This window comes from Homo sapiens, chromosome 6 (assembly GCF_000001405.40).
Source record: "Homo sapiens chromosome 6, GRCh38.p14 Primary Assembly".
NCBI classification, from domain to species: domain Eukaryota; kingdom Metazoa; phylum Chordata; class Mammalia; order Primates; family Hominidae; genus Homo; species Homo sapiens.
In genome coordinates, this window is record NC_000006.12 from 29,562,274 (window position 1) to 29,576,574 (window position 14,301).

General features: G+C 39.5%; 1 pseudogene, besides 2 other annotated features; it reads left to right on the plus strand.

Moving 5' to 3' along the window:
• Positions 597-1,796: an enhancer, noted in NCBI's record as "P300/CBP strongly-dependent group 1 enhancer chr6:29530647-29531846 (GRCh37/hg19 assembly coordinates)". NCBI's record gives its function as "activates an origin of replication core promoter dependent on BRD2, BRD4, P300/CBP, MED14 and CDK7 cofactors, with strong dependence on P300/CBP, by STARR-seq in HCT116 cells {active_cell/tissue: HCT116}" and the evidence as "EXISTENCE:reporter gene assay evidence [ECO:0000049][PMID:35650434]".
• Positions 11,796-12,055: a silencer, noted in NCBI's record as "fragment chr6:29541846-29542105 (GRCh37/hg19 assembly coordinates)". NCBI's record gives its function as "represses an EF-1alpha promoter that drives an FKBP-Casp9 reporter gene in an ReSE screen in phorbol 12-myristate 13-acetate-treated (for megakaryocytic differentiation) K562 erythroleukemia cells {active_cell/tissue: K562(+PMA)}" and the evidence as "EXISTENCE:reporter gene assay evidence [ECO:0000049][PMID:32094911]".
• Positions 11,800-12,378, plus strand: OR2H5P (olfactory receptor family 2 subfamily H member 5 pseudogene; annotated as a pseudogene).

Here is a 14,301-nt window from a genome sequence, read left to right on the forward strand (position 1 = left end):
GGGCCATGGCAGTTTACAGATGCCATGGCAATGTCCAGAAGTTACTCTATATGGTCTAAAAAGAGGAGGAACCCTCAGTTCCAGGAATTTCCCACTTCTTTCCTGGAAAACTTGTGAATAAGCCACCCCTTGTTTAGTATATAATCAAGAAATAACCATAAAAATAGTCAACCAGCAGCCCTCAGGGCTGCTCTGCCTATAAAGTAGCCATTCTTTTTTTCCTTTACTTTCTTAATACGCTTGCTTTCAGTTTACTCTATGGATTCACCCTGAATTCTTTCTTGTGCAAGATCCAATAACGCTCTCTTGGGGGCTGGATCAGGATCCCTTTCCAGTAACAAAAGTAAAAAGATGATGGTATGAAGATCTTGCCAAGTTATAAAACAATTGTGGCGGTTATCTACGAGTGTCCCAATGTGGCCCTGGCTGACGGGATGCTCTTGGGCCTGTCACTGCCCCCATTGAAGCCTACTTGAAGCCTACTTGGAACAGATGTCTCTTTCTAGTCTCTTTAATAACGTCCATGAAAGAGTTTCTAAACTGCTTTGAGATCTAGAATATTGCTTCAAAAATGCCAACCAAACTCAGTCAGAAAGCTAGTGTGAATTCTCATTTATTGGTGATTGGGAAAAAAGTCTACACTCAAAGAAGAACAGTTTGAAAATACCTACCAAAATTTAACATGGACATACCAAACCAAGACAACCAAATGCCTATCAGTATTAGGGAAATAGGTAACCAAATTGTAGAATATCATAAGCAGCATAAATAGAAGGATCATACCTGCAAACAACGATACAGATGAATGTGCTAGAACCTATTGAGTGAAAAAAGTGTTAGAAACAAATGCTTATTCCACGGTGCCGCAAAGAAATAGCACTCAGACATAAATTCAATTTTCTCAGCAAGGAATTTTTACTTCTATAGAAGGGTGTGACTCGCGGATGGAGTAATGGCAAGAGCATACCTGGACAAGGGAGGGGAAGGAGTTCTTATTCCTGAGGCAGGTAGCCCCTACTGCTGTGTCGTTCCCCTATTGGCTAGGTTTGGACCACACAATCTAAGCTAATTCCGATTGGCTATTTTAAAGAGAGCAGGGGTATGAGCCAGAGCGGCAGGGTGGGTAGTTTGGTGGGAAGGGTGGTTACAGAACAGGTGACTCAGGATGATTCAAATCAAAGCAGGTGGCCGAGGGTGACTCCGGATGGAGCAGGTGACCAGGGGAACAGATATGAACCACTGATTAGAACTGACAGGAAAGTTGTTTACTGAAACTAGAGGCAAGAGGGTGAAGAGAACCCGGAAGCTCAACTTTCAAATGGAGAATCAAAGAATAAGAGAGATGAATATGCTGACATACTGATTCTTTGAAGAGAATCTTGGAGTTCACTATATCTAACAAAAGCAAGATGAGTAAGACTACATAAAGTATGATACTCTCCATAAATCTCAAAAGCAAGCAAAACTACATAGTGAGACAGAGAAAAAGAGGAACTACTTGAAATTCAGGATATGTCTGCTTTTTAACAAAAATGAAGCCCAATCTAAATTTTGATATAAGCTACTTGAAGGAGATTTTCAACAGGAAGTAAGAGGGCATTAGAAGCCCTGATATTATTTCATCTTGCCATATTCAGAATCTGAAGTTTAACCAAGAGAACTTAATGTTTGTTAAAGCAATTTATTACTTGAGAGACATACCGTATATTCACTTTATTAAAGGTAAAGTAATAATATCTAAAACAAATGTTCCAAAGAAAACTAAACATAAGCAAAACTGAATATAGTATCTAGAACTACATATGTAAGCAATAAGGCTCTTATAAAAATGTAAAAACCATGAGTGTTCATTATGCTACTATTATGTTTTATAGTGTTACATTATATTATTCTATATGGGTTACATTTATTTATCTGTAGTATCAAAGATTATAATAAAAATATAATTTAAAATTTTTCATGTTCATATCCTCTAGCTCAGCAATTCTGCTTCTAGGAACTTATCCTATTAGTACTCTTTTGGTTTTTTTTTAAGGAGTATCACTCTTGCCTCCCAGCCTGGAATGCAATGGCGCGATCTCGGCTCACTGCAACCTCCGCCTCCTGGGTTCAAGCGATTCTCCTCCCTCAGCCTTCTGAGCAGCTGGGATTGCAGTCATGTGCCACCATGCCTGGCTATTATTTATTTATTTATTTATTTATTTATTATTTTTATTTTTAGTAGAGATGGGGTTTCAGCATGCTGGCCAGGCTGGTCTCGAACTCCTGACCTCAGGTGATCCACCTGCCTCCGCCTCCCAAAGTGCTGGCATTACAGGTATGAGCCACCATGCCTGGCCCTATTAGTACACTTATATATGTGTGAAATAAGCCATGTACAAGAATATTCATGTGAAATAATTATTTGCAACTGAAATAAATGGGAACAACACTTATCAATAGACAACTAAATAAGTGCTGGTGTATACAGTTGAATTAAATTTAAAAGCCAAGTTGCAAAATATATGTATAATATTTTGTTATTTAGAAAGGAAGAAAATATACACATATGCTAAAATGTGCATACAACATCTCTGTGAGGAGACACTGACTCTGCAAGTTGCCTGAGGAGCAGGAATGAGAGGTGGACTATTCATTATATGTCTTATCTTATTATTGTTGCTATTTTTTAGTTTTGCAACTGTGCATGTTTTACACATTCAGATAGGCAGATAGTATGGGAAGGGATAGTATATTTTTTATGTAGTCATCAGCTCAGAATGGAGCTGGCTATAAGCTATGCACCAATGGGAACCAGTTTCAGTGCTCATCACTAGTTGACAGGCAAAGGGCCATGAAAAGTTGGTGGCTATAGTAGGTTAACTATTGTGATTCTGTGCCTTCCCTACTCCCCAAAATTTATTTTCCACTAATCTTTTACATACTGCAAAATTTAGAAACATTGATAATATAGCCCATAATATATCTGAAAGCAAAGAAATTTATAATTAGCTAAAATCAGAGACCAAACCTAATGAAAAAAAAAAAGTAATTCTGAGACAATTGCTGAGCCTGGTACATGGGACTGATGTCAATGTGCAAAAATTGTCCAACCTGACAAAGCAACTGGAATAACTAATGCAGTCATAAGTGCAGGATGATGTGTTGACCAATGGCGCATTTCCACTTTGTAGCAGTCAGGCCATCTTGGAGTGAATCCAGGCTCTGCCTCCTACTTCTCATGCAAGTTATTTGGTACTTTCTTTTGTCAGCTGGGGATTTCGGATTTCACTTAGGATTAGGCTCTGCTACCATTAACAGACATCTGAAAATAATGTGCCTTTAACTAAAACCCCAAAAGGACCAGATCTTAGAAGTCAAAATGACAACCAAGGCTTAAGGAGTTCACCCTAGAACCAAGAAAAAACTGCAATGATCCATTCCAGCAAAATGTAAAGCCAGTTTTTCAGAAGTTCAAAGTGATAAGTGGGTAATATATCTGCTTATTAAACAAGATTCAATACGCTTCAGAGAAAGATAATAGAATACAAAATAGATAAAGGTAATAGAATACGGAATCTCTGTAACATATTACTCACATCATCAAGTGTAAAACAGGAAATCACCAATCATGTGAAGAAACAGAAATATTAGACAAACAGTTTTAAATCCTCAATAAAAACAAACCCAAACGCCACCGAAATGTTAGAATTATCAGATGGAGACTTTAAAATCACTATAGTATTTTAAAGAATCCACAGGGAAAGATTTATACAATGGGTAAAGAAATGATGAATTTTAGGAGACAGATGTAGAAACTGCCATTTTAAAAAGCCAAACAGAAATGCTGGAACTGAAAAATACAATATCGTTGACCCTTGAACAACAAGGGTTTGAACTGCATGGGTCCATTGAATGTAGATTTTTTTCAGTAAATATACTGGAAAATTTTGTACCTTTGTGACAATTTGAAAAAACTCGCAAACTTCATAGCTTAGAAACATCAAAATAATTAAGAAACAATTAGACATATCATAAATGCATAAAACATACGTAGATACTAGCATACTTTATCATTTACTATAAAATATACACAAATCTATTATAAAAAGTTAAAATTTATTAAAACTCACACACAAATACTTATAAACAATCATAAAATACAGTATTAAATCATAACTGCGTAAAATTAGTCATAGTACATTCTGTCTTACTATAATAATTATGTAGCCACCTCCTGTTACTATTGGGTGAGCTCAAGTGTTGGGAGTATGGGATTAAAATGTCATGTAATACTAATCATTCCCACGTAAGCAGTTCGTCTTCTCTTTAGGAAAAAGTGATGTCTCACGGTTCTTGCGGTTGTCCTGTTTTTGTTTTGTTTGTTTGTTTATTACAGAGTTTTGCTCTGTCGTCCAGGCTGGAGTGCAGTGGCACGATCTCAGCTCACTGCAACCTCTGCCTCCCGGGTTCAAGTGATTATCCTGCCTCAGCCTCCCAAGTAGCTGGGATTAGAGGCATGCACCACCACGCCTGGCTAATTTTTGTATTTTTAGTAGAAACGTTCTTTGGTTCAAGACGGCCAGGCTGGTCTTGAACTCCTGACCTCAAGTGATCCACCCCCCTCGGCCTCCCAAAGTGCTGGGATTACAGGTGTGCCACCGCGCCCAGGATCTTGTGTATTTTTAATTGTGTTTAGTGCAATTCCATAAAGCCTGAATAACACCACGAGACCCATATAGTGATGCTGGAAGTTTTCCCTGGAGACAGAGAAAAGCCATAACATTACAGGAAAAAGTTGAATTGCTTGATATGTGCTATAGATTGAGGTCTGCTGCTGCAGTTTCCTGCCATTTCTGACTGATGTTTCATCTCTTAACAGATGACACAAACTTACATAATTGATAAATACGGTATTGTACTGTCAGTGTATTTTCTCTTCCTTATAATTTTCTTAATAACATTTTCTTTTCTCTGGCTCATGTTATTGTAAGAATACAGTATATAATACATACAACATACAAAATATGTGTCAGTCAACTGTATATATGATCAGTAAGGCTTCTGGTTAACAGTAGTTTATTAGTAGTTAAGGTTTAGGGGAGTCAAAAGTTATTCATGGATTTCCAAATGTATGAGGGGGTCAGCACCTCTAACCCACGCATTGTTCAAGGGTCAGCTGTATACGACTTTCTGGTAAAAAGAACCAGGAGTCCTTGGAGAGATGGTTGATCCCAGACAGAGGAAAGAGAACATACAAGATAACCCTGGAATACTGTATGATGCCAGAAACTAAAGAAGTCATTAAAAAAAAAAATGAGGACACATCAAAAAACTCACAGTAATCACGTTAAAGGATTTCCCCATAGCCAAGTCTGGGAAAATGTAAACAGCAAAGTAAATAATGAGAATAATGAAGAAAGAATAAAATAAACATCCAGGAGTCATTACTGGATATGAATAAAGAAAATAAACAGTAAACGAATAGGAGGAGAGGGACAGCTCTTACAAAATTCAAAATAACAAACATAGGAGAAATGATGAAAGTTATCATTAGGCAAACAGCCCAATAGTAATTGTTACAGTCAAAACTCATTTGTGGATGCTAAAATTAGTAGGCAAAACTATAATGAGAAAAAGATACTTGCATAATCTCAAAGTATTACCATAAATACTTATTATGTTACTTATATTATTATAAGATATGACTACAGTTTTAATAAGACAACACAGTTAAAAAAATGAAAAATAATTTGAATAAAAGACACGTAAGGACCAATAAAGCACATGATAAGATGTTTAACACCATTAACCATCACAGAGCAAATTGAAACGACTTGAGGGAGCACTTCACAGCCGATAGAATGCCTAAAACCAAGAGACTGACAATTCCAAGTATTACCAAGGATGTGGAACATCTGGAACTCTCATCGCTGTAGGGAGTGTAAATGGCACAATCACTCTGGAAAGCAGTTTAGCAGTTTCTTATAAAGATAAACAGACAGCAAATGACTCAGAAATTCCAATTCTAGGTATTTACCCAAAATAAAGAACACATGTGTTCACACAAAGAACGAAGAACCATATACAACACAACTAACTGTTCTCTCCTTCTTCTTCTTCTTCTTCTTCTTCCTCTTCCTCTTCCTCTTCCTCTTCCTCTTCTTCTTCTTCTTCTTCTTCTTCTTCTTCTTCTTCTTCTTCTTCTTCTTCTTCTTCTTTTTTTCGGACCCAGGCTGTTGTGCAGTGGCATGATCATGGCTCACTGCAGCCTCAACTTCCTGGGCTCAAGTGATCCTCCCACCTCAGCCCCCCAAGTAGCTGAGACTACAGGATGCACCACGATGCCCGGCCAATATTTTGTATTATTTTGTAGAGACAGGGTTATATCATGTTTCCCAGGCTGGTCTCAAACTCCTGGGCTCAAGTATCCTCCCACCTTGGCCTCCCAAAGTTCTGGGATTACAGGTGTGAGCCACCATACCCAACAATTGTGGCTTCTTTCATAGCAGCCCAAAACTAGAAACAACCCAAATGCCCATCAATGCATGAATGGATAAACTGTGGTATATTTATACAGTGAAATACTATTAGCAATAAAAAGGAGCAAATTACTAATATATGAAACACTATGAATGAATTTCCATAACAAGCCAGATAACAGAAGCCAGAAATAAGGCATGAAGCTAGGCATGGTGGCTCATGCCTGTAATTCTAGCATTTTGGGAGTCCAAGGTGGGTGAATCACTTGAGCCCAAGAATTCGAGACCAGTCTGGGCAACACAGCGAGACCCTGTCTCTACAAAAAGTACAAAACTTAGCCGCGTGTGGTGGCCTGCACCTGTAATCCCAGCTACTTGGGGGGTTGAGTCCAGGAGGTTGAGGCTGCAGTGAACTGTGATCACACCACTGCACTCTAGCCTGGGTGACAAAGTAACACCTTGTCTCAAAAAACATAAAAAAAGTAAATTTCATTGAAGTACAAATTACGGGTAATAAAATGCACACATTTTAAGTATATTGTTCAATAAGTTTTGACAAGTGCATACACTTGGATAACCAATACCCCATTCAAGATATAGAGCATGCATTTTCATTATTCTAGAAAGTTATCCTATGCCCTGTCCCAGACAACCAATCATCTGATTTCTATCTTGCTAGATTTGCTTTTCCTGTTGTAGGAAAGTTATGTCAATGAAATCAGGTGGTATGAATGTATGAATGCTTGCTTGCTTGCTTTTTTTTTTTTTTTTTTTTTGAGACAGGGTCTCACTCTGTCACCCAGGCTGGAGTGCAGTAGTGCAGTGGTGCAATCACGGCTCCCTACAGCCTTGACCTCCTAAGTATATTGAACAATATACTTAAAATGTGTGCATTTTATTACATGTAAATTCTATCTTAAAGAAGTTTATTTTATTTTATGTTTTTTTGAGACAAGGTCTGACTCTGTCACCCAGGCTAGAGTGCAGTGGCATGATCACAGCTCACTGCAGCCTCAATCTCCTAGGCGCAGGTTATCTTCCCAGCTCAGCCCCCCAAGGAGCTGGGACTACAGATGAAGGCCACCACACCCGGCTAAGTTTTTGTACTTTTCGTAGAGACAAGGTCTTGCTATGTTGCCCAGACTGGTCTCGAACTCCTGGGCTCAGGTGATCCATTCCTCTTGGCCTCTTAAAGTGCTGGGATTACAGATGTGAGCCACCATGCCCAGACTGAAGTTGATTTTAAAAGCAGAAATGAGCTACTGATACTTGAAACAACATGAATAAATTGCAAAATAATTACTCCTAGTGAAATAATTCTTACTCAAAGGAGTATATATTATTCCATTTGTATGAAGTCCTAGAAGAGGCAAAACTAAGTATCAAGGAAAGAGGCAAGTGGAAGGTTTGTAGGATGATGGAAATCTTCTGTTTCTTCATTGAAGTCATCAAAATTCATCAAAGCGTATATTTCAAATCTGTGCATTTTATTGCATGTAAATTATATCCAAATGTCTACCAGTAGAGAAGAAACAAGAAATAACGAAGTCTTACATGGGTTCAAATGAGACTTGAGAGAAAAGAATGGGACACACTCAGGAGAGGTGGCAATGAGAAAACATGACCTTGTGCTCCTCAATGACACAGAGGAGCAGAAGTGACCTTTTTACTTACCACAGGGAGCACCAATGCTGGCACGTTTCCTCTGAATCATCTCCTTCTTTCTTAATCATCATTAGCACCAGTGGCTAATTAATTGTCTGTGAACTGTGACGCTCTGGAGTCTTGGGAGAATTAACAAGCCATTTCTCTCCATGGGATGGGAGTCCCGGGATCCCTCCCTCCATCACTTCACCACGTTTTCTTCTCTATCTCCACTACCATTAAAAGACAGGTTAACTTACTAGGTTGAAGAGGAGAGGTTGTGGGCAAAGAGCAACCTTCAGCCTTACAGGTCCAGAAGAAGGATGGTGGTGGGGTATAGTTTGTGCCTGACTCTAGAGCCAACCCACCTGGGTTCAAGTCTCAGCTCTGGCTATATAATTCTGAGCTAATTATTTAACCTATGTTTTAGTTTCTTCATCTGAAAATAAATATAGAATATAGAAATATTATCCAGGTCATACAGAGGTTGTGAAGTGCTTTGAAAGGTGTGGCAGCAGCATTAGAAGTCAACATTACTACCTGAGCCCTAATCCACCACCCTTTCAAAGGTGCCCAACACTCCTGACTTTGCTTGTAGATTTCATTGTGAGGATTAACTAGAGGCTCACTCAGTCTAGAAGCTCGTTGTCAGGGAGAAGCTCCGGCAGCAGGCAATGGGGAGATTGTGACATGATTGAGGAAAAGTTATAAGTTTATTCTTCTCCTACTGTCCATTAATGTCCACATATCGTCAATGGTAGAGCTACCCCAGGAGCACCAGATTTGGAATCAAACAGGACTCAGACTCCAGGCCTGGTCTTCATCGGCTATGTAACCTTGGGCAAGCTACTTAACCTCTCTGCGACCATTTCTTCTTCTGTAAAAGGAAGATGATATTAACTACCTCAAAGAGTTATGAGAACCAGGTATTCAGGAAATGTTTAGCATGGTGCCTGGTGTATAGGAAGCACACAACAGATGGTAGCTGCCAAAGTATTAACGTGGTTTTCACTAATGAATTGGAGAAAAGAATTGATATTTCATTCCCTTGTAGCACCTAGTACACAACTAGGTCTTTGGTGATTAATAAAGAAATAAATACATCCGTGAATATGAAATTAATAGGAAGAGAGTAAAGTTGTACTGGACTTTTGTGGGTGTCCAAGAAAAATTAAAAAGACCAGAAGAAAGAGAGTGAGAACAAATACACGTTGTGAAACACAGAACAAGAGAGAACAGAAAGAGAGTCAAAGAACTATGTAAATTGAAGAGACTGAAAAATGACATAGAGTGAAGCAATGAATTACCAAGAGTATAAGAGTGTAAGAGAGGGATGCAGAAAGTGTATTAGAATGATGGTTGACAGATAAATAAGGAGGAGTTGGCTATTTTTTACCAACACAAAGGGTGTAATGTTATAAGACAATATAGGAATGATTTTGTAAAAGTAATAATTGAAATAGTCATTGCGTCTTCAGGAGTAGGTAGTAGGTATGATTAGGGAAGGGCACGCAGAAGGCTTTTAAGATTTAAACAATCTTTTGTTAAAATATTCAACAATATTTTAAAGGAAAAATTTTTCTCAGAGTAAAAAGAATATAGGAGGAAGGAAACGAAAAAAGAGACAAATATAAACAGGTTGAACAAATAAAAAGATGAGATGGGGCTTTTAAACACACAAAAAAGAGACACTGCAATGGGTAGATGCTGCCAACCTATAGCCTCTCCAGCCACCTCCCCATCAACTTGCCCAGTTCCTGCCTCTCAACTGCCAGAGTGGCTGCCACCGTCCACCCATATCTGAGTTGGCCCTGTGTGCTGAAACTCTCTTCACCTTCTCAAAAACACAGTCCCCTCCTCCAGGAAGCATTCCCTGATTCACTCAACCACCCTACTCATTTTCTTTACAGATCTATCTCTCACCTCTAGCCCCCTACCCCAATATTTTTGCCTTATTTGCCTGCAATGTTTCAAGTTTTCTGCTGATGTTGAATGTACTACCCAGGGTTTTTCAAAGCCATGAGACTACTCTTTCTTCCAGCCCATAAGCTCCTCCGCCTTGAATGACCACATTGTTCAATAATTTGAAGTAGACTCCTTACTTCAGTGACTTAGGATAGGCTACTAAAGAGGATAAAGTCAGACCTGACATCTAAGTACAATATGTGACTCTCAACTGGATCCTACGTGGAAAAAAAAAAATCCTACAAAGAACATTATTGGGACATAGAGAAAATAAGAATATGGACTGTGTGTTACATAACAATACTGTATCAATTTTAAGTTTATTGAATTTAATTGCTGTACAGTGTTAATTAAGATCATCTTGTTGTAGAATATGAATACTAAGACAATAAGGAGAAAGAGGCATGATGTCCACAAGTTATTCCCAAGTGACTCAGAGTAAAAATGAAAATACATAAACATATTGAGTATAATGATAGTGAAAATGAGTAAAAATACTAAAAATTGATGAATTTGATAAAGGTTATATAGAAGTTCTTGGAACTACACTTGCAACTTTTCTGTAAGTTTCAACTTATTTCAAAATCAAAGGTTTTTAATTGCATGTGAATAAAATTAACCGAGCATTTTCAAAAGCAAAATTCTACTTACATGTCCCAAACTCAACATGGTATGTTTTTACTACTATATTTTATCTTACATGAAAAGGAGAGGATATTGAAATCTATTTCAGCTTTCTAACACCAAACATCAATTCTTCAGGATTTTTTTGCAGTTACAGAACCAGAAAATAATCTTTCTGACTGACATTATATTTTTTCTTATTTTTACATATTACACATAATGGAAAATTTAGGCAGGACATTTCATTTGCAGGAGAAATGTTTGTTCTTAGTTTAATAAGTCATAATTTTTTTTGAAAGACCTAAATCACCTGACTGATCTTTCTAGCAGTTGAGTCATTTCACATACAGAAGAAATCTCCACAGTCCACATTTCTATCACTGGTCAAATCTCTTGCAAAAGTGTAAAGTAGATAGAATGTGAATGATTTGAGAAAATTTATGCCCACCACTAGAAAACATGATGAATTCTCTAGTAATGTTTACAATTAGGAAACTCACTGAACACACATTTCTTTGTATTTCCTTCCACACATAACAAAGGGAAAATTCAGTAGTAGCATAGCGATCAGAACATAATAGGTACTTAATAAATTTTTGCAAAATTAATAAAAACTAACTAGTTAGCTGATCTATGCTTCACATCAGACGTTTTGCATTCAACCAGGAAGTCAGAGGCACCAGTGTGAGGCTCAATCCGTTGTTGAGCACATTAATGGTTTCCTCACTCCCACTAGACAATGTTTGATCAGAAGGAACAGGGGATGAGAAGGAGCTGCTTGATGGTGATGAGACTGGGAAAGGAACGCTGGGCGAGCAGAGACAAAAGAGAAACACTCACCTACTGGGACCTCACAAACACCCAGGCTGAGTTTTAATAAGACAGGTTGAATCACACTGGGGTGACAGCCTCATCCTTCCAGATACAGAGAGGAACAGGCCATGGTTAACCAAAGCTCCGCACCAGGCTTTCTCCTTCTGGGCTTCTCTGAACACCCAGCACTGGAAAGGACTCTCTTTGTAGTTGTCTTCACTTCCTACCTCCTAACCCCGGTGGACTCATCATCCTGCTGTCTGTGCTGGACCCCAGGCTCCACTCTCCAATGTACTTTTTCCTCTCCAACCTCTCCTTCTTGGACCTCTGTTTCACCATAAGTTGTGTCCCCGGGATGCTGGTCAACCTCTGGGAGCCAAAGAAGACCATCATCTTACTGGGCTGCTCTGTCCAGTTCTTCATCTTCCTGTCCCTGGGGACCACTGAGTGCATCCTCCTGACGGTGATGGCCTTTGACCGCTACATGGCTATCTTCAAGCCCCTGCGCCATGCCACCATCGTCCACCTCTGCCTGTGCTGGCAGCTGGCATCTGTGGCCTGGGTCATTGGGCTGGTAGAGTCAGTGGTCCAGACACCATCCACCCTGCGCCTGCCTTTCTGCCCCCATCAGCAGGTGGATGATTTTGTCTGTGAGGTCCCAGCTCTAATTCGACTCTCCTGTGAAGACACCTCCTACAATGAGATCCAGATGGCTGTTGCCAGTGTCTTCATCTTGGCTGTGCCTCAGCCTCATCCTTGTCTCTTATGGAGCCATTGCCTGGGCAGTGCTAAGGACTAACTGCAAAAGGGCAGAGGAAAGCTTTTGGGACCTGCTCCTCCCATCTCACTGTGGTCACCCTCTTCTACAGCTCAGTCATTGCTGTCTACCTCCAGCCCAAAAATCCCTATGCCCAAGAGAGGGGCAAGTTCTTTGGTCTCTTCTATGCAGTGGGCACTCCTTCACTTAACCCTCTCATATACACCCTGAGGAACAAGGAGGTAACCAGGGCATTCAGGAGATTGCTGGCGAAGGAAATGGGGCTCATACAAAGTTGAGGGAGAGCTGTTTAATGTGCTTTCTAAATTAAGAAGAAATTATTTATCCTTTTGTGAACAAGTTTGAGCTCCCAAGTATACTACCTTTCATACACCCATCACAGTGTTTACAATGGGTCACAGTATATGAGTGTGTGTGAGAGAGAGAAAGAGACAGAGAAAGACTAAGAGTCAGGTAAGAGGAGGTAGGTATCTTTAATTAACATCTAAAGCTCAAAAAGATTATCATACCTGCCCATTTTTAATATTTAATTTCTATATTTTTATTTTCTTTTCAATTTGGTTTTTAACTCTCTTCTCCCCTACAGGTTCTCCAAATGCACCATGCCTATTTCTGGTTATGTAACCCCTCTCCGATTGTTACATTATCATCATCATTTTACCATCACTTGTGATTCTTTTTTTTTTTTTTTTTTTTTTTTGAGATGGAGTCTCACTCTGTCGCCCAGGCTGGAGTGCAGTGGTGCGATCTTGGCTCCCTGCAACCTCCGCCTCCTGGGTTCAAGTGATTCTTCTGCCCCAGCTTCCTGAGTAGCTGGGACTACAGGCACATGCCACCATGCCCAGCTAATTTTTTATTTTTAGTAGAGACGGGGTTTCACCATGTTGGCCAGGCTGGTCTCGAACTCCTGACCTCAGGTGATCCACCCGCCTCGGCCTCCCAAAGTGCTGGGATTATAGGAGTGAGCCACATCACCCAGCCACTTCTGATTCTGACAATGTCTTCTTTCCTTTGTCATCAGGATGGTTCATCTCCACTTGCTTGAGGTGGACTGACAGGAAGCTGACACTCAGAGAATTTAGTAATTTCACCCAAGAACACACAGCAATTTGTTAGACCTAAATTGAGATGCATATCTGTTAACTTACCAAGTGCATGCTGTTGGTTTTACACCATTATAAATATACCAACATCATTAGGATTTATACCCAAATGGGTTATCAGGCAGAAAACTCTATTTTTCCAGTCCTAGTAAGTTTTCTGATCATCCAGCTTTCCAGGGATCACAACACTAATCTCCTGCCAAATCCTGAAAATGTGCTCCCATTCCTGGAGATGATTTTCCTTTACCTCTTCTCAACCTCTGCATGACAGTGACCATGAGGAGTTGTGAGTCTGCTCTTCAGTGGCTACACAGTGCTAACAGCTGTCCTGCATCCATTTTCTAGTGCAGTTCTGAAATTCTGACCAACCTCTACTAGCCAGGCACAAACATGAAATCCAATTGTAAGTAATAAAGTGCTGCAATGGAGCCTGGATGGAGCAAGGGCCTCAGAAAAAAGGGAGCAGCAGTGTAAGCCCCAACTTCTATGAAATCTTATTTCCTTTTTCAAGTTGATCTACATTCATTACATTCTCAAAGCCTCACATGAATGGAATGGAGAGTGTGATGGAAAAATCTGTTTAGAACTGAACCATTCTCTCCTCTTTCCTGTCAGGAAAGAGGTTATGCTGTGATAACAATACCAATCCTCAGTGACTTGAAACAGCATAGGTTTATTTCTTGCTGCTGCTGCATGCCCATTGTCATCCAACCAGAGGTTCTGCCTTGTCATCTTCACCCAAAGATGTGGACTGACAGAACACCCACCATCTCAAACACTCCTAGGTGCTGGGAAAGGAGGAAATAATAAGCATGACAAATGGCAAACTAGCACTTAGTTTCCAATCGGAAGTGGCATAACACTTTGACTCATTGGTCATTTGCCAAAGCAAATCTCATGGCTACATATAACT